The 19589-nt window shown below is 52.1% G+C and overlaps 1 protein-coding gene across 1 annotated transcript, besides 6 other annotated features; it reads right to left on the bottom strand.

Annotated features, from left to right (window-relative positions):
- On the bottom strand, nucleotides 1136-13062 carry QTRT1 (queuine tRNA-ribosyltransferase catalytic subunit 1). The gene is made up of 10 exons (NM_031209.3): nucleotides 12798-13062; nucleotides 12483-12551; nucleotides 12247-12385; nucleotides 7121-7199; nucleotides 6886-7001; nucleotides 2202-2340; nucleotides 1873-1948; nucleotides 1634-1743; nucleotides 1461-1548; nucleotides 1136-1383 (listed from the first exon to the last, which is right to left on the bottom strand). The coding sequence occupies exons 1-10, from the start codon at nucleotides 13038-13040 to the stop codon at nucleotides 1231-1233; spliced, it is 1212 nt and encodes a 403-aa protein (NP_112486.1). The 5' UTR covers nucleotides 13041-13062; the 3' UTR covers nucleotides 1136-1230.
- Nucleotides 12079-12268: an enhancer, noted in NCBI's record as "active region_13985". NCBI's record gives its function as "activates an Ori minimal core promoter by ATAC-STARR-seq in GM12878 lymphoblastoid cells {active_cell/tissue: GM12878}" and the evidence as "EXISTENCE:reporter gene assay evidence [ECO:0000049][PMID:35858748]".
- Nucleotides 12597-13345: an enhancer, noted in NCBI's record as "H3K27ac-H3K4me1 hESC enhancer chr19:10811832-10812580 (GRCh37/hg19 assembly coordinates)". NCBI's record gives its function as "activates a minimal SCP1, AML or CMV promoter by ChIP-STARR-seq in primed H9 embryonic stem cells {active_cell/tissue: H9 hESC(primed)}" and the evidence as "EXISTENCE:reporter gene assay evidence [ECO:0000049][PMID:30033119]".
- Nucleotides 12749-12808: a silencer, noted in NCBI's record as "silent region_10089". NCBI's record gives its function as "represses an Ori minimal core promoter by ATAC-STARR-seq in GM12878 lymphoblastoid cells {active_cell/tissue: GM12878}" and the evidence as "EXISTENCE:reporter gene assay evidence [ECO:0000049][PMID:35858748]".
- Nucleotides 13029-13118: an enhancer, noted in NCBI's record as "active region_13984". NCBI's record gives its function as "activates an Ori minimal core promoter by ATAC-STARR-seq in GM12878 lymphoblastoid cells {active_cell/tissue: GM12878}" and the evidence as "EXISTENCE:reporter gene assay evidence [ECO:0000049][PMID:35858748]".
- Nucleotides 18439-18698: a silencer, noted in NCBI's record as "silent region_10088". NCBI's record gives its function as "represses an Ori minimal core promoter by ATAC-STARR-seq in GM12878 lymphoblastoid cells {active_cell/tissue: GM12878}" and the evidence as "EXISTENCE:reporter gene assay evidence [ECO:0000049][PMID:35858748]".
- Nucleotides 18655-19154: an enhancer, noted in NCBI's record as "H3K4me1 hESC enhancer chr19:10806023-10806522 (GRCh37/hg19 assembly coordinates)". NCBI's record gives its function as "activates a minimal SCP1, AML or CMV promoter by ChIP-STARR-seq in naive H9 embryonic stem cells {active_cell/tissue: H9 hESC(naive)}" and the evidence as "EXISTENCE:reporter gene assay evidence [ECO:0000049][PMID:30033119]".

The following is a 19589-nucleotide window of genomic DNA, read 5'->3' as shown; positions in this document are numbered from 1 at the left end:
TGCGCCTTCATAAAAGAGACCCCAGAGAGCTGCCTTGCCCCTCCCGCCATGTGAGATTAGAGAAAAGATCGCCATCTAGGAAGTTTGCCCTCAACAGACACTGAATCTGCTGGTACCTTGATCTTGAATTTCCCAGCTTCTAGAACTGTGATAAATAAATTTCTGCTGTTTATAAGCCACCCAGTTGATGGTATTTTGTTATATATGGCAGCCAGAACGGACTAAGAAAGTGACAGTGACCATGTAAACTTCATTCCTCTGTGCCTCAGTGTCCTCCTCCGTAAAATGGAACACGACTGTACATGCAACATCAAGTTGCAAGAGTAGACCGGGTGTGGCGGCTCCAGATCGAGGCTACAGTGAGCCGTGTTTGAACCAATGCACTCCAGCCTGGATGACAAAGGGAGACAGTCTCAAAAAAAAAAAAAAAAAAAAAAAAAAGAGGCTGGGCACTGTGGCTCATGCCTGTAATCCCAACACTTTGGGAGGCTGAGGCAGGCAGATCACTTGAGGTCAGGAGTTTGAGACCAGCCTGGCCAACATGGTGAAACCCCATCTCTATTAAAAATACAAAAATTAGCCAGGCGTGCTGGCACGCGCCTGTAGTCTCAGCTACTCGGGAGGCTGAGGCAGGAGAATCGTTTGAACCCGGGAGGCGGAGGTGGCAGTGATCCGAGATCCTACCACTGCACTCCAGCCTGGGTGACAGAGCGAGACTCAGTCTCGGAAAAAAAAAAAAAAGAAAGAAAAAAATAGGAGATTAAGCCTCATATTTATAAAAGTCAGACTAGGAGTGTATGCCTTAAAGCCAAGATACCATTTCTTTGATGGTGATGACCTTGGGCAAGTTCCCTCCCTTCCCTGGGCCTGCTTCCTCAGCTGTAAAAAAGGAGAGGCCAACAGTACCTCCCTCCAAGGTGGCTGGGGGGCCTGGGCCCCAGGAAGCAGGTGGCAGCTCCCGCTCTAGGGGCACGCCCTACATGCTGGGCACTGGCAGGTGGTTTCCAGCTATCCGCTGCTGCCACAGTGACGTGTTATGATTGGTGAGAAGGGGAGATATTCCACTGCAATGACGCTCAGACTGGGAGGGGGACCCAGACAGGCCACTTCCTCAAGAAGACACAGACACACTCTGTAAGTTACAATAAAAAAAACCTTTCAAAAAGGAATCCTTCAGTATCTTCCAGCCCCTCCCTCCCTTCCTTCCTCCCTCCCTCTCCCAATGCCAGGTCAGCCCAGTGTGATTCCCACAGAGGCCAGAGCGTCAGTGGCCCAGGTGGGACAGAGGGTGGGATCCCCGTACATGGCGCCCATGAAGTCCCGCACGAAGTCCGGGAAGCGCTTCTCCACGATGCTGGTGCGGACGGCGCTCATGAGCTGCAGCTGCGGGGAGGGGAGGTCAGCGTGGGGCATACGCACCTAGGACACCCCCGCCCACCTTGCCCCGGGCACTGGCTCACCTGGTAGGCGATGTTGTGGACCGTGAGGTGGTGCAGCGCGGCCGTGTTGTCACTGTGCAGCAGTGCGTGCAGGAAGGCGCGGCTGTGCCTGTAGAGCGGCAGGGGACAGCTCAGCACGGCCAGGCCCTGTCCCCTCCATGCCCTGCCCCAGCTCCCAGTGCCATCCTGCCTACTTTTGGCACGTGGGGCAGGTGCACTCCGGGTCTATGGGGCCGAAGTCCTTCTCAAACACCTTCTTCCTCAACTGCAGGTTCCCAGTGGGCACCAGGGCAGAGCCAAAGCGCTGTGGGAGAGGAAGGGCAGGGAAAGGGGCGTCACCCAGGGCTTCATTCTCCCCACCCCCCACCCCTAACCTTGCCTCCCTAGTCCCCCACCCGTCTCCCGCCCTGACCTCCTTCTGCCAGAGCCTCACCGCTGTCCGTGTGGGGAAGACGCAGTCGAACATGTCACATCCAAGAGCCACGCAGACTACCAGATCAGTGGCATAGCTGGGGTTGCAGCCATGACGGGAGGGGGCAGAGAACCTCAGGGGCTTCCCAGGGCCCCTCCCAACCCTCACACTGCCCCAGACTGGGCCATATTCCCTCAGAATGGCCCCCAAGGGACAGCCATGTCTTCCTAGTCTCCTCAGATCAGACCTGTGTCCGTTTCCCCCAAATGCCACCTCCCCAAGCAGGGTAGGGGGTCCCCAGGAATCCACTTCCCACAGGTAGGGCTCTGGCTTCCCTATCCACAACATACCCAACCCCCATCAGATATCGGGGCTTGTCCTTCGGCAGCCGAGAGGTGCTCAGCGCCACCATCCGCCAGAACTGCGACTTGCTCTCACCCCCGCTCAGGCCCCCGATGGCGAAGCCAGGCACGTCTCGCTTGGTCATCTCTGAGGGTACAGGGTAAGGTGAGGGCCACAGAAGAGGAAATGCGCCTGGTCTTCAATCCCAGAACACACCCTGCCCAGACTTCCAGAGTCGCTCAGGGAGAGAGTCAGAGAAACAGACAGAGACAGACAGACAGAGCCAGAGACGGAGAGGGAGACGGAGAGGGAGACAGAGGAGAGGGTCCATCAGTTTGTCTGTCTGTCTAGGGGCTGGGACTACTGCTGATCTCAGCTAACATTTATTGAGTGCCTGCTGTATGCAAGACCTTTTCCTTCAGTACTCAGAAGAGGCACAGCCCACAGTCCCTTAGCTGAAACTGTTGGAACCAGATGTGTTTCAGAATTCAGAGTTTTCCAGATGTGAGAACAGTAAACATCCCACATGCTGAGTAACAGCTGTCATGTTAGGCGCAGTGGCTCACGCCTGTCATCCCAGCACTGTGGGAGGCCGAGGCAAGCAGATCACTTGAAGTCTGGTGTTGAAGAACAATCTGGCCAACATGGTGAAACCCTGTCTCTACTAAAAATATGAAAAGTAGCCAGGCGTGGTGGTGCACGCCTTTGGTCCCAGCTACACAGGAGGCTGAGGCAGGAGAATCGCTTGAACCTGGGAGGCAGAGGTTGTAGTGAGCCAAGATCACACCACTGCACTCCAGCCTGGGTGACAAAGTGAGACTCCATCTCAAAAAAAAGGGCCGGGCGCGGTGACTCATGCCTTCAATCCCAGCACTTTGGGAGGCCAAGGCAGGCAGATTACGAGGTCAGGAGTTCGAAAGCAGGCTAACCAACGTGGTTAAATCCTGTCTCTACTAAAAAATACAAAAATTAGCCAGGTGTGGTGATGGGCACCCGCAGTCCCAGCTACACAGGAGGCTGAGGCAGAAGAATCGCTTGAACCCGGGAGGTGGAGGTTGCAGTGAGCCGAGATCAGATGACTGCACTCCAGCCTGGGCGACAGAGCGAGACTCCGTCTCACAAAACAAAACGAAACAACAACAACAACAAAACACCCAATAGCCTGTCATCAAACACTGTAATATTTGTACAACAAAATATGTTAAGACTTGGTGGAGGAAAGGGGAGTGAGAGCATTAGGACAAATACATAACGCATGCGGGGCTTAAAACCTAGATGACGGGCTGATGTGTGCAGAAACCACCATGGCACATTCATAGCTGTGTAACAAACTTGCACGTTCTGCACATGTATCCCAGAACTTAATTTTTTTTTTTTTTTTTTTGAGATGGAGTTTTGCTCTTGTCATCCAGGCTGGAGTGCAATGGCACCATCTTGGCTCACTGCAACCCTCGCCTCCCGGGTTCAAGTGATTCTCCTGCCTCAGCCCCCCGAGTAGCTGGGACTACAGTCGCCCACCACCATGCCCGGCTAATTTTTTGTATTTTTAATAGAGACAGGGTTCCGCCATGTTGGGCAGGCTGGTCTTGAACTCCTGACCTCAGGTAATCCGCCCACTGCAGCCTCCCAAAGTGCCAGGATTACAGGCATGAGCCACCACGCCCGGCCAAAGTAAAATTTAAAAAATAAAAATAGGCTGGGCACATGGCTCACGCCTGTAATCCCAGCACTTTGGGAGGCCAAGGCAGGTGGATCACGAGGTCAGGAGTTCGAGACCAGCCTGGCCAACATGGTGAAACCCCATCCCTACTAAAAATACAAAAATTGGCCAGGCGTGGTGGCTGGTGCCTGTAATCCCAGCTACTCGGGAGGCTGAAGCAGGAGAATCGCTTGAAACCAGAAGGCAGAGGTTGCAGTGAGCCGAGATGGTGCCACTGCACTCCAGCCTGGACAACAAGAGCAAAACTCCATCTCAAAAAAATAAAAAATAAATAAAAATAAAAATATGTGAATACTTGTAACAACTGGGATAAAAAATGAGAGATCTAAGTTAGCCATGAAATGAGTTGCAAATTTTTCAGGGCATTCTAAGTTTTTTCTCTTTTCTTTTCTTCTTTTTTTTTGAGACAGGGTCTCACTGTGTTACCCAGACTGCAGTACAGTGATGTCATCATAGCTCACTGCAGCCACCAACCCCTGGGCTCAAGCGATCCTCCCACCTCAGCCTCCCAAGTATCTAGGATCACAGGCACACACTCCCATGCTTGCGTGCTAATTTTCTTTTTTTCTTTTTTTTTGAGACAGATTCTTGCTCTGTCGCCCAGGCTGGAGTGCAGTGGTGTGATCTCAGCTCACTGTAACCTCCACCTCCCGGGTTCAAATGATTCTCCTGCCTCAGCCTCCCGAGTAGCTAAGATTACAGGTGCCCACCACCATGCCTGGCTAATTTTTTTTTTTTTGAGATGGAGTCTCACTTTGTTGCCCAGGCTGGAGTGCAGTGGCACAATCTCGGCTCACTGCAAGCTCTGTCTCCCAGGTTCACGCCATTCTCCTGCCTCGGCCTCCCGAGTAGCTGAGACTACAGGCGCCCGCCACCACGCCCAGCTAATTTTTTCTATTTTTTAGTAGAGATGGGGTTTCACCGTGTTAGCCAGGTTGGTCTCGATCTCCCGACCTCAATGATTTGCCCGCCTCAGCCTCCCAAAGTGCTGGGATTACAGGCGCGAGCCACCACGCCCGGCCTAATTTTTGTATTTTTAGTAGAAACGGGGTTTTACCATGTTGGCCAGGCTGGTCTCGAACTCCTGACCACGTGATCTGCCCGCCTTGGCCTCACAAAGTACTGGGATTACAGGCGTGAGCCAGCGTGCCTGGCCCAATTCTCTTTTTTTAGAGATGGGATCTCACTATGTCACCCAGACTGGTCTCAAGCAATCCTCTTGCCTTGGCCTCCTAAAGTGCTGGGATTCAGGTGTGAGCTATGGTACCCGGCCAATGTTCTGGATTTTAGACTTTCGCTCTGAGGACCTGGATGACACAGAAGGGGCTGCAGAATTGTGCTATTGTTCAACTTGCCTGAAACAAGAGGAAATTGAGGCTTGCAGAGCTTAAACCACTAGTCCAAGGCTACATATGCCAAAGGCTGGATTCAAACCTGGGTCTGGCCTCCAAGTCCAGGCTTATCTTGTGCCCCAGCTGCCCAGTTCAACCCGAAGAGGCCATGCCATCAAGAACGCAGGTGTTGGCCAGGTGCAGTGGCTCAAGCCTGTAATCCCAGCACTCTGGAGGCCAAGGTGGGGGTGGATCACGAGGTCAGGAGTTCAAGACCAGCCTAGCCAACATGGTGAAACCCTGTCCCTACTAAAAATACAAAAATTAGCCAGGCATGGTGGTGCATGCCTGTAATCTCAGCTACTCAGGAGGCTGAGGCAGGAGAATCACTTGAAACCGGAAGGTGGAGGTTGCAGTGACCTGAGATCACGCCACTGCACTCCAGCCTGGGCAACAAGAGCGAAACTCCGTCTCAAAAAAAAAAAAAAAGAAAAAAAAAAAAAGGAATGCAGGCGTTGTCTGGGGCCAGGTTTTGAAGGTAATGTGAGCATCCTCCAACTGGACACAGGGTGTTTACATGCAGATTCCTAGGCCTTCCCTAGCTCCAACTCTGGTCGGATCATGGGAAGGGGAGCTGCATTTTACCAGGACTTTCAGTAGTTTGTGCTGGGGCAGGTAAGCCTCAGAGCACTTTGAGAAGCACCCCATGGGGCGGTGCTTGTCAAACTGCAGGTGGTTGAGAAATGACTTTGATGACGCACGGGTTGTTGTCGTTGTTTTTAAATGAAAGAGAAAAGAAAACACCAGAAAGCATTGCATGTAAAAGGTAATGCATGGCTGGACACACCGGCGTGCACCTATATTCCAAGCACTTTGGAAAGCTGAAGCAGGACTGCTTGATCCCAGGAGTTTGAGGCTGCAGTGAGCTTTGACCTAGCCACTGCACTCCAGGAGGAGCAACAGAGTAAGACCGTGTCTCAAAAATAAATAAAGAGGCCAGGTACGGTGGCTCACGCCTGTAATCCCAGCACTTTGGGAGGCCGAGGCAGGCAGATCACAAGGTCAGGAGTTTGAAACCAGCCTGGCCAAAATGGTGAAACCCTGTCTCTACTAAAAATACAAAAATTAGCCGGGCCTGGTGGCGGGTGCCTGTAGTCCCAGCTACTCAGGAGGCTGAGGCAGGAGAATAGATTGAACCCGGGAGGCGGAGGTTGCAGGGAGGCAGAGGTTGCAGTGAGCCGAGATCGCGCCACAGCACTCCAGCCTGGGCGACAGTGCAAGACTCCACCCTCCAAAAAAAAAAAAAGTAAAATAAATAAATACATAAATAGGCTGGGCGCGGTGGCTCATGACTATAATCCCAGCACTTTGGGAGGCCAAGGGGGGTGGATCACCTGAGACTCCGTCTCAAAAAAAAAAACAAAAACAAACAAACAAAAAACCTAGAAGATCATTAACTACTGGAATCATGGCCATTCTCTCAATACATTCTACTGCACGTGGCCCGAGAGCCTTTGCTCCGGCTATTTTTTCTAGCGCAGTGCCCTTCTACACATTAGCAATCCAGTCCCGCCATACGCCAGGCCCATGTGGGGACCTCCGCGATGGCCAAGCCCTGGGCCTGCCAGCGCATGGCTCTACCTTCAAGGCAGGTGGCCCGGAGATCTGCGTCCAGCCCACCCTGGATAATGGCGAAGAGGTTCTGCTTGTCCGGCCGCTGATGGGCTGCAATGCACCGGTCCAGCCAGCGGATTGACCTGCAACAGGGCCCCAGTCACAAGCCCCAGGGGCCTGGTGAGGGGGTAGGAGACAAGGCTACAGGGACCAGGATCCCCTCCCACCACATATCCCACACATGCACACAGCATATACACACCTGTACATGGCCTCCTCCACACGTGGCCCAGTCACAGTACTGCTAACCACGTCGTCCAGCTGCATGATGATGTCCGAGCCTGATGGTGAGATGGGGGCAACATCACTGGGAAAGCCCGCAATGCTTGGGGAAAGCCTGCCGTCACATGGGGACAAGTTGGACTTCCCCAAGAGCATCCCCCCATCCCCCGTCTTGCTAACTCCCACGTGACTTTCCCGGTCTGTTTATACAGCAGCCAGAAGGAGCTTTACAGAATGTGCCTTTGATCCTGCCTCTCCCCAGCTTAAAATCCTATCCTGTTACACAAAATAAAATCCTAAAATATACAAAGGGATCCCTTGCTATGTGGCGTGCCACAGCAAGACCGGGAAACCAAACGTCCATCAGCAGGGCTCTGCTGACTGGGCGCAGTGACTACGCCTGTAATCCCAGCACTTGGGGACGCCGAGGCAGGCAGGTCATCTGAGGTCAGGAGTTCAAGACCAGCCTCGCCAACATGGTGAAACCCCATCTCTCCTAAAAACACAAAAATTAGCCAGGTATGATGGCACGTGCCTGTATTCCCAGCTGCTTGGAAGGCAGAGACAGGAGAATAGCTTGAATCTGGGAGACAGAGGTAGCAGTGAGCCAAGATTGTGCCACTGCACTCCAGCCTGGATGACAGAGCAAGGCTGTGTTAAAAAAAAAAAAAAAAGGTTAAAAAAAAAAAAACAGGCGCGATGGCTCACGCTTGTCATCTCAGCACTTTGGAAGGCCAACCCAGGTGGATCATTTGAGGTCAGGAGTTCGAGACCAGCCTGGCCAAGGTGGTGAAACCCCGTCTCTACTAAAAATACAAAAATTAGCCGGGCGTGGTGGTATATTCCTGTAATCCCAGCTACTCAAGAGGCTGAGGCAGGAGAATCGCTTGAACCCGGAAGACGGAGGTTGCGGTGAGCTAAGATTGCACCACTGTACTCCAGCCAAGGCGACAGAGCGAGACACCGTCTCAAAAACAAAACAAAAGTGCTAAGATTATAGGCATGAGCCACGGTGCACAGCATAGTGGTTTAGTGGCATAAAATGAAACTTGATGACCTATAATCCAAACACTTTGGAAGGCCCAGGCGGAAGGATCACTAGAGCCCAGGAGTTCGAGACCACCCTGGGCAACACAGAGAGACCCCATCTCCATTATTAAGAAAATAAATAGATGAAAACAATTTAAAATAAAAAAGAACAGGCCACAGCCGGGCGCAGTGGCTCACGCCTGTAATCCCAGCACTTTGGGAGGCCAAGGCGTGTGGATCACCAGGTCAGGAGATTGACACCATCCTGGCGAACACAGTGAAACCCTGTCTCTGCTAAAAATACAAAAAATTAGCCGGGCGTGGTGGCGGTCACCTGTAGTCCCAGCTACTCGGGAACTGAGGCAGGAGAATGGTGTGCACCCGGGAGGTGAAGCTTGCAGTGAGCCGAGATCGCACCACTACACTCCAGCCTGAGTGACAGAGCGAGACTCTGTCTCCACAAAAAAAAAAAAAAAAAAAAAAAAAAAAAAGAACAGGCCAGGCCTGGTGGCTTGCGCCTGTAACCCCAGCACTTTGGGAGGCCAAAGCAGGTCAATCACTTGAGATCGGGAGTTCAAGACCACCCTGGCCAATATGGTGAAACCCTGTCTCTACAACAAATACAAAAATTAGCCCGGCATGGTGGCATGCACCTGAAGTCCCAGCTACTTGGGAGGCTGAGGCAGGAGAATCGCTTGAACCCAGGAAGCAAAGGTTGCAGTGAGCCGAGATTGCACCACAGTACTCCAGCCCGGGTGACAGAGCGAGATTGTGTCTCAAAAAAGAAAAAAAGGGGCAGGCGTGGTGACTCACGCCTGTAGTCCCAGCACTTTGGGAGGCCGAGACGGGTGGATCACCTTAGGTCAGGAGTTCGAGACCGGCCTGGCCAACATGGTGAAACCCCGTCTCTACTAAAAATATAAAAACTAGCCAGGTGTGGTGATGGGCACCTGTAATCCCAGCTACTCGGGAGGCTGCAGCAGGAGAAGTGCTTGAACCCAGAAGACAGAGGTTGCAGTAAGCCAACACAGTGCCACTGCACTCCAGCCTTGGTCAAAGAGTGAGACTCCTTCTCAAAAAAGAAAAAAAAAAAGAAAAGACGAAAAAATAAATATGGGGCTGGGTGCGGTGGCTCACGCCTGTAATCCCAGCCCTTTGGGAGGCTGAGGCAGGTGGACCACCTGAAGTCAGGAGTTCAAGACCAGCCTGACCAACAAGGTGAAACCCCGTCTCTACTAAAAGTACAAAAATTACCAGGCGTGGTGGCAGGCACCTGTAGTCCCAGCTGCTGGGGAGGCTGAGGCAGGAGAATAGCTTAAACCCGGGCAGCAGAGGTTGCAGTGAGCCAAGATCGAGCCACTGCACTCCAGCCTAGGTGACAGAGCGAGATTCCACATCAAAAAAAAAAAAAAAAATTACGACATTCATTAAAAAGCTAGAACTTTAGCTGGGCATGGTGGCTCACACCTGTAATGCCAGCACTTTGGGAGGCTGAGGCAGGCGGATCACCTGAGGTCGGGAGTTCAAGACCAGCCTGACCAACATGGAGAAACCCCGTCTCTACCAAAAATACAAAATTAGCCGGGCATGGTGGCGCATGCCTGTCATCCCAGCTACTCGGGAGGCTGAGGCAGGAGAATCGCTTGAACCCAGGAGGCAGAGGTTGCTGTGAGCCGAGATTGCGCCATTGCACTCCAGCCTGGGCAACAAGAGCGAAACTCGGTTTCAAAAAAAAAGAGGCCGGGTGCGGTGGCTCACGCCTGTAATCCCAGCACTTTGGAAGGCCGAGATGGGCGAATCACGAGGTCAGGAGATCGAGACCATCCTGGCTAACACGATGAAACCCCGTCTCTAGTAAAAGTACAAAAAAATTAGCTGGGCGTAATGGCGGGTGCCTGTAGTCCCAGCTACTCCGGAGGCTGAGGCAGGAGAATGGCATGAACCCAGGAGGCGGAGCTTGCAGTGAGCCGAGATCGCGCCACCGCACTCCAGCCTGGGAGACTAAGCAAGACTCCATCTCCAGAAAAAACAAACAAACAAACAAAAAACACATGGGGGCTGGCACAGTGGCTCATGCTTGTAACATGAGCACTTTGAATGGTCAAGGCAAAGGACTGTTTGTAGCCAGGAGTTCAAGACCAGCCCAGATAATGTAGTGAGACTCTAATCTCTACAAAAAATATTTGGCCGGGCATGGTGGCTCACACCTGTAATCCCAGCACTTTGGGAGGCCAAGGCGGGCAGATCGCTTGAGGTCAGGAGTTCAAGACCAGCCTGGCCAACATGGCGAAACCCTGTCTCTACTAAAAATACAAAAAACTAGCTGGGCGTGGTGGCATGCACCTGTAATCCCAGCTACTTGGGAGGCTGAGGCAGGAGAATTGCTTGAGGCCAGGAGGCAGAGGTTGCAGTGACCTGAGATTGTGCCACTGTACTCTAGCCTGGGTGACAGAGTGAGACTCTGTCTCAAAATAATACATAAAAATAAATAAACATAAAAAAATAAACTTATAGGCCGGGCACAGTGGCTCATACCTGTAATCCCAGCACTTTGGGGGACCAAGATGGGCAGATCACTTGAGGTCAGGAGTTCGTAACCAGCCTGGCCAACATGGTGAAACCCCATCTCTACTGAAAATACAAAAATTAGCTGGGTGTGGTAGCGGGCACCTGTAATCCCAGCTACTTGGGAGGCTAAGGCAGGCGAATTGCTTGAACCAGGAGGCAGCTGTTGCAGTGAGTCATGATCGCGCCTCCGCCTCCCAAAGTGCTGGGATTACAGGCGTGGCCACCGCACCCAGCACGTGGCTTCTTTTCTTATAAGGGTTTTTGTTATAGGGGCTTCAGCCATGAATCTAAGAAGAAAAAATATTTCTTCCTCCCTACAGCATCAATCTATTAGAATGATGAGGGGAAGAGGGGTTTTGACCCTGTGTTGCCATGGTTCTTTATCAAGAAATGGGGATATTGGGCCAGGCGTGGTGGCTCACACCTATAATCCCAGCACTCTGCGAGGCCGAAGCAGGTGGATCACCTGAGGTCCGGAGTTTGAGACCAGCCTTGCCAACATAGTGAAACCCGTCTCTACAAAAAATACAAAAATTAGCTGGGCATGGTGGCAAGCAGTTGTAATCCCAGCTACTCAGCAGGCTGAGGCAGGAGAATCACTTGAACCCAGGAGGTGGAGGTTGCAGTGACTGGATATCACACCATTGCACTCCAGCCTGGGCGACTCTGTCTCAAAAAAAAAAAAAAAAAAAAAAAGCCAGGTGTGGTGGCTCACGCCTGGAATCCCAGCACTCTGGGAGGCCGAGGCAGGCGGATCACCTGAGCTCAGGAGTTTGAGAGTAGCCTAACCAACATGGAGAAACCCTGTCTCTACTAAAAATACAAAATTAGCCAGGTGTGGTGGCGCACACCTGTAATCCCAGCTACTCGGGAGGCTGAGTCAGGAGAATCACTTGAACCCGGGAGGCAGAGGTTGCAGTGAGCTCAGATCGCAAAATTGCACTCCAGCCTGGGCAACAAGAGCAAAATTCTGTCTCAAAAAAAAAAAAAAAAAAAAAAAAAAAGAAGGATATTGAGGATATGGGAGAAGCCTAAAGCCTCCCCAATCCTCTTGTTGCCACCATTATTTCAACAGATATTTGTCCAATTAATTTGTTTTTTTTATTTTTTATTTTTTATTTTGGTAGAGACAGGGTCTCCCTGTATTGCCCAAGCTGGTCTCCAACTCCCGGCCTCAAGTGATCTTCCCGCCTCAGTTTCCCAAATTGCTGGGATTACAGGCATGAGCTTCCACGTCCAGTCTTAATTTGCTAATGAGAGAAAAACTGCAATAATAATACTTAAGCTACTACATGGCTGGGATGGAGATTTACTGACATCATCTCATATGTACTTGTCAACAATTCTACCAAAGACCTGCTACTATTTACCCCCGCTTTGAGTTGGTTCAACTGAAGCTCAGCGAGGAGTGACCTGCTCAAAGCCACACAACAGCTAAAAAACAGGCCCCGTGTAAACTTCACCCCCTGACAGACAGGGTAAGGAGGCGGCTCCCCAGGGTCCTCTCACCCAGCGCATTCTGGATCTGCACGGATTTCTCCGGGCTCAGCAGGGTCTCATTGCCGTCGTAGGGGGAGCGGAAGCGGACGCCCTCCTCCGTCACCTCGGACAGAGACACCAGCGACACCATCTGGAAACCGCCGCTGTCCTAAGGGAAACCCCACCGCAAAGCTGTCAGGGGGTGGAGATGGGGACCCTTCACTCCAGAGAAGGGCCCTAGAACGTCGGCTCTCTCCTCAGCTCACCGTTAGCAGATTATGAGGCCAATTCATGAAGCCGTGGAGACCGTTGGCTTTCTGGATCAGCTCGGGTCCCTGGGTTGATGGAAGAAAGTGTCAGGTTAGGGGTGACCGCGTCCCTGGGGGCCCTTCTTGGGAGACAGATCTGGCCAGCTTTAGTCCCTGCTGCTCTTTCACGCCCAGTACAAGGCCTGGTCATTGGGGGCGCTCAATACAGCTGGTCGATTGACTTTGGGAGGAGTGTCCGGGCCTGGAGGACGCTCCATGGCTCCCCACGCCTCGCCGCCTCGCCGCCTCCCCGCGCGGGCAGAGCCCACCCACCGGCCTTAGACCCAGATGGTAGGTATTGCCCAGGCAGATGCGGCAACCCAGAGCGTCCAGCTGTTCGGTCGTGATGCCCTTCATGGTGGCCTGCGTGCCCACTGGCATGAACACAGGAGTGGCCACTGTCCCATGCGGCAGCCACAGCTCGCCTGCCCGGGCCCTGGAGCGGCTGCATTCGGCCACCAGCCGCATGATCCGTGGGGCCGACTCCAGGGAAGCCTGGGTAGCTGCTCCCGCCATCTTGACTGTCGGAACCACGTGGGCCGTACCACACAGTGGGCGGCGCCATGTTGGCCGCTGTCACGTGACCACGCGATCCGTTCTGGAGCCCGGGAAAGCGTCGGGGGACCATGGCAACGGATTTGAACCCCTGGTCCTGGCTGGGGGCCCATTTAACTCCTACCCACAACACGCTAAAGCGAAGAATCAGAATTGAACTGGGAACGAATCCCATCCCTAGCACTTTCGAGCTACAATCAGAGACTCTCTTAGCCATAATTTTCTCTTGGATAAAATGTGGCGAATTACAGCATCTCGGCATAAAGACTTTGTAAAGATTGAATAAAGGGCCGGGGGTGGTGGCTCACGCCTGTAATCCCAGCACTTTGGGAGGCCGAGGAGGGAGGATCACGAGGTCATGGGATGGAGACCATCCTGGCTAACACAGTGAAACCCCGTCTCTACTAAAAATACAAAAAATTAGCCGGGCGCAGTGGCAGGCACCTGTAGTCCCAGCTACTCCGGAGGCCGAGGCAGGAGAATGGCGTGAACCTGGGAGGCAGAGCTTGCAGTGAGCCGAGATCGTGCCACTGCACTCCAGCCTGGGTGACAGAGCGAGACTCCATCTCAAAAAAAAAAAAAAAAAAAAAATTAAGCTGGTGTGGCTGGGTGCGGTGGCTCACGCCTGTAATCCCAGCGCTTTGAGAGGCTGAGGCGGGCGGATGACCTGATGTTGGGAGTTCGAGACCAGCCTGACCAATGTGGAGAAACCCCGTCTCTACTAAAAATACAAAATTAGCCAGGCATGGTGGTGCATGCCTGTAATCCCAGCTACTCCGAAGGCTGAGGCAGGATAATTGCTTGAACCTGGGAGGCGGAGTTTGCAGTGAGCCGAGATCGTGCCATTGCACCCCAGCCTGGGTAACAGGAGCAAAACTCTGTGTCAAAAAGAAAAAAAAGTTTTAAAAATTAAAAAATTAACAGGTTGTGAGCCAGGCACGGTGGCTCACGCCTGTAATCCCAGCACTTTGGGAGGCCAAGGCGGGCGGATCACGATGTCAGGAGTTCAAGACCAGCCTGGCCAGTATGGTGAAACCCCGTCTCTACTAAAAAAATACAAAAATTAGCCGGGCGTGGGGGTGCGTGCCTGTAGTCCCAGCTATTCGGGAGGCTGAGGCAGGAGAATCGCTTGAACCCGGGAGGCGGAGGTCGAGCCACGATTGCGCCACTGCACTCCAGCCTGGGCGACAAAGCGAGACTTCATCTAAAAAACAAAAACAAAAACAAAATCAAAACAAAAACATTAACATGGTGTGGTGGCACGCCCCTGTAGTCTCAGCTACTCAAGAAGCTGAGGCAGGAGGATCACTTGAGCTGAAGAGTTGGAGGCTGCAGTGAGCTATGATTGGGCTACTGTACACCAGGCTGGGCAACAGAGTGAGACCGAAACCCTAAAAAAAAAGATAATAATAATATACAATATTATATAGTAATTGTTATCATTACAACTGGATCTGATATCTGTCCTGGCCAGCAGAGAGCGCTATTGTCCCAGAAGATGTCCTTTCAATTGTCTTAAACTGAGCTACTCTGGCCAAGAGGGTGTCTAAGGGAGCCTCAAGCCCCCTATCCTGTAAGAAAGGCTAAGGATGCCGGTTGCCCAGATGGTGGGGCATCCTTAGTAAGGCCACACCCGGAAAACCCGCCTGGAAAACACCCCTGCCCACCAGCAAGCCAACCTCAGGGCCTTTGCACCTGCCTTTGTCTACAACACTCATCCTTTCTTTTCTATTTCTTTTCTTTCTTTTCTTTTCTTCTTTTTTTTTTTTGAGACAGAATCTCACTCTGTTGCCCAGGCTGGAGTGTAGTGGCACAGTCTCAGCTCACTGCAACCTCCGCCTCTCAGGTTCAAGCGATTCTCCTACGTCAGCCTCCCAAGCAACCGGGATTACAGGTGCCTGCTGCCACACCCGGCTAATTTTTTTTTTATTTTTGAGATGGAGTCTTGCTCTGCTTCCCAGGCTGGAGTGCAGTGGCACAATCTCTGCTCACTGAAAGCTCTGCCTGCCAGGTCCACGCCATTTTCCTGCCTCAGCCTCCTGAGTAGCTGGGACTACAGGCGCCTGCCACCACGCCCAGCTAATTTTTTGTATTTTTAGTAGAGACCGGTGTTCACCATGTTAGCCAGGATGGTCTTGATCTCCTGACCTGGTGATCCACCTGCCTTGGCCTCCCAAAGTGCTGGGATTACAGGCGTGAGCCACCGCACTCGGCCGTTTTTTGTTTTTTTTTTTTTTGAGACGGAGTTTTGCTCTTGTTGCCCAGGCTGGAGAGTGCAATAGTGCAATCTTGGCTCACTACAACCTCCACCTCCTGGGTTCAAGTGATTCTCCTGCCTCAGCCTCCTGAGTAGCTGGGATTACAGGCATACGCCACCACGCCTGGCTAATTTTTTTGTATTTTTAGTAGCGACAGGGTTTCTCCATATTGGCCAGTCTGGTCTCGAACTCCTGACCTCAGGTGATCCTCCCACCTTGGCCTCCCAAAGTGCTGGGATTACAGGTGTGAGCCACCGCGTCCGGCTAATTTTTGTTTTTAGTAGAGATAAGGTTTCACCATGATGGCCAGGCTGGTCTCAAACTCCTGACCTCAAGCGATCCACCCATCTAGGCCTCCCAAAGTGCTAGGATACAGGTGTGAGCCACCGTGCCCAGCTAATATTTCTATTTTTCAAAATGTTTACCAGGCGCAGTGGCTCACGCCTGTAATTCCAGCACTTTGGGAGGCCAAGGTGGGTGGATCATATGAGCCCACGAGTTAGAGACCAGCCTGGGCAACATGGCAAAAAAAAAAAAAAAAAAAAAGTTAAAAAATTACCCATAATTCCAGTTACTTGGGAGACTGAAGCAGGAGGATTGCCACAGCGCCTGGCCAATATGTGTTTAAGTCTGCTTCTTGCCAAGCTTTCTGTGTTATTCTGATGCCCACTCGTTTCAGAACCACTGTTTTTCACTCTTGGCTGCACATAGAATTACCTGTGGAGTTTTTAACTATCTCTATGCCCAGACAACTTAAACTAAAATCTATGGTGAGTAGCTTATGTACTTTGGGACGATGAAGTAGGAGGATTGCTTGAGGCCAGAAATTAGAGTCGCCCAGGCTAGGGTGCAATGGTGCGATCTCGGCTCACTGCAACCTCCACCTCCCGGGTTCAAGAAATTCTCCTGCCTCAGCCTCCTAAAGTAGCTGGGATTACAGGCGCCCACCACCATGCCCAGCTAATTTTTTGTATTTTTAGTAGAGACAGGGTTTTGCAATGTTGGCCAGGTTGGTCTCGAACTCCTGACCTCAGGTGATCCACCTGCCTCAGTCTCCCAAAGTGCTGGGGTTACAGGTGTGATCCACTGCACCTGGCCGATCATCTCTTAAAAAAAAAAATCTATGGGGATGAGACTCAGTCATCAATTTTCTTTTGTTTTTTGTTTTAAGCCTCAAGGAATTTCTGTGTGCAGCCAATGTTGCCTCTCAGTGGTTTAGGTTCCAAAAACAGCATTTCATTATCTTATCCAAAGTGAGTCTCTTTCTTTTCTGGGTGACCTTATCTTGGAGCTCTGACCTGCCTGCAATTCTTGGTTATCCAAAGCTTCTGGGATGTTGGAGGGAATCCTCTGCATTTTAGAATGCAATCACCATGATTGGATGAATGGCTGATTGGATTAAGGGTTGCCTGGATTTGCTGTTCTGAAGCTAGTATAGCCCCTTCTTTTCTTGGCCACCTAACACCTGACCCCGCTCATACACCCCTGCATTGAGAGAATGTCATATTTTTTAAGGCTAAGCCTGCCTTTCCATAGAAGTTATAATTGACAGTTACTTTCCCAGCCTGCCCTGCAGCCAGGCTGCACAAGGCTCAGGTTCTGCCATTCACAATTTGGATCAAAAGCCAGTGGTGGTGGCCGGGCACAGTGGCTCACACTTGTAATCCCAGCACTTTGGGAGGCTGAGGCGGGCGGATCACCTGAGGTCGGGAGTTTGAGACCAGCCTGGCCAACATGGAGAAACCCCATCTCTACTAAAAATACAAAATTAGCCGGGCATGGTGGCATATACCTATAATCCCAGATACTAAGGAGGCTGAGGAAGGAGAATTGGTTGAACCTGGGAGATGGAGGTTGTGGTGATCCGAGATCGTGCCATTGCACTCCAGCCTGGGCAAGAAGAGTGAAACTCCGTCTCAAAAAAAAAAAAAAAAAGAAAAAGAAAAAGAAAAAAGCCAATGATAAGGAGAAACAGGCCCTTGGGCTCGAAAACACTAGGGACAGGAGTTGGAGGCAGCTACATCCATGTCACAGAGATTCATGAAAATAAGAACAGTTTATGTCAAAACTGAAGCTACACTCAGGAAGTTTATAGGTGGTTGCACATCTGGTCTCCAGCCACAGTAATCCTTGTAGCATCAACTACAGTCTCTGTACTTAGTCATTGTGAGATTGGGCTATGTGTGGGGTTGGCGTTGGGGTACCACCACTAGCTGTGTAGCCCCTGATGCTGGTTCTCTGCCCCTCCTGGAGATCACTGTGCCACCTGACATTCTTCATTACACACTTTTCAAGCATAGACAAACGGACAGAGAATTGCATAGTTATCACCTTGTAACCAATGACCCAGCTTCAACAATTATCAAAAGAGGCTTAATCCACCCACTTAAACAAATATATTCTAGTCCGGATGCAGTGGCTCACGCCTGTAATTCCAGCACCTTGGGAGGCTGAGGCAGGTAGATCGCTTGAGCCCAGGAGTTGGAGACCAGCCTGGGCAACACGGCGAAAACCTCTGCTGTACTAAAAATACAAAAATTATACGGGCGCAGTGCTGCACACCTGTAGTCCCAGCTACTCGGGAGGCTGAGGCAGGAGGATAGCTTGAGCCCGGGAGGTGGAAGCTGCAGTGAGCTATGATCGCACCACTGCACTCCAGCCTGGGCAACAGAGCAAGATCCTGTCTCGAAAAAACTAAAAATAAAATTATATACATACATACATATAGAGAGAGGTCAATGTGTTCAGTAGGACAGGATAGTCAGGGCTGGGCTCACTGAGACGGTGGGATTTGAGCCTGAAAGGAGGATGGAGGAGTCATGCGGAATCGGAGAGAGCACTCCAGGCCTCGTGAACAGTTAAGAGCAAAGGCCTGGAGGTGGGAATGTGTCTGGATTGTCTGTTGTGAGCGCGGAGGTCAGTGTGGCTGGAGGTGAGCGGATGAGGGTGTGGAGGTGACGGCATGAAATCGCGGGAAGCCTTGGGCTTTCCTCTGAGCTGGATGGGACGGTAGGGCTTTCTCAGCCAACGTGGAGGGAAGTGGGCTCTACCTATTACCAAGAGATAAACTGGGGATAGGGCGCAAAGGAGGCTTAGTGGTCCCTGCTTTAGGGTGTTGGCACCGCCCACTTAGGAGAGCTGGGGGCGCCGTGAGCCTGCAGCTAGAGGCGGCGCTTGGTGTGCGGCTTCAGCACAGTGGACAGCGCCGTACGCGTTGCCTGGAGACCAGGAAAGCGGCCGCTCAGGGAGCGGAGCCTGCGCAAGCGCCCTATGAGGAGCGGCGCGCTCCACGCAGTGGCACACTCTGTGGGGGCGGGGCCTGCGAGTCCGGCCAATTAGAAGAGTTTGTTGCCGGGCGTGGTGGCGCTTGCCTGTAATCCCAGCTACTCAGGAGGCTAAGGCGGGAGAATTGTTTGAACCAGGGAATCAGAGGTTGCAGTGAGTGAGCGGAGATCGCGCCACTGCACTCCAGCCTGGGCGACAGCGAGACTCCGTCTCCAAAAAAAAATTTTGTTGACAACCCCAGGACGAAGAGAGTTTATACACAGGGCAGGGCCTGCGAAATCCCATCTGGAGTTGGAGCTTGTTGATTGCGCAAAGGAAGGAAGGAAGGGGCGGTGGGCACCCGGAGCCTAGAGACCGGCGGGAAGTTTGGAAGCGGTGGTTTGCAGCAGCTAGGCCTGGGGCGGTTTCCGCGCTCTTCACATGGAGGCTTGCGCAGCACCCAGGGTCGTGACTGGGGCTGTCAGATCCCGAAACTTGCCTTCTCTGGGATCGCCCGCGACTGCTCAGGGGAGCCCCCAAACAGGGGACTATATGGTTGGCCTTAGGGAGCGGGTGCTGAGGTCCTGGGTCCAGGATACGGACTTCTGAGCACTGACTGAGGAATACAGAACATTCAGGAGAGGAGAGTTAGGGGTTTTGCTGAAATAATGGTCCTTGGAGCCCTGAGTTCGGGTGGTCGTCTCGATAGCCTGGAGGATTTCTCCAGTTTATTCATCGGACGTGTGGGGACCGTCCCTCTGTGACATTGCCACCCACCTACTGCCCTGTTGCCAAGCAAGAAGACCTTAGGCGCCAGATCTTTTGAGAAGACAAAAGCACTGGCCCAAGACCTGGGAGTTCATGGACTTCTTGGCTACTCCGTGGAGAGAATGCTGGTCTCCCTGAGAATGAGAAGGACGGGCCCCTTTTCTTTGACATACCGTTTTTAACCCTCTTGAGTCTAGAAACTCTTCCCTTATCAAGACCA

The sequence above is a fragment of the Homo sapiens genome, chromosome 19, assembly GCF_000001405.40.
Source record: "Homo sapiens chromosome 19, GRCh38.p14 Primary Assembly".
NCBI classification, from domain to species: domain Eukaryota; kingdom Metazoa; phylum Chordata; class Mammalia; order Primates; family Hominidae; genus Homo; species Homo sapiens.
The sequence above is the reverse complement of the archived record's forward strand: the minus strand, read 5'-3'. Positions and strand labels throughout refer to the sequence as shown.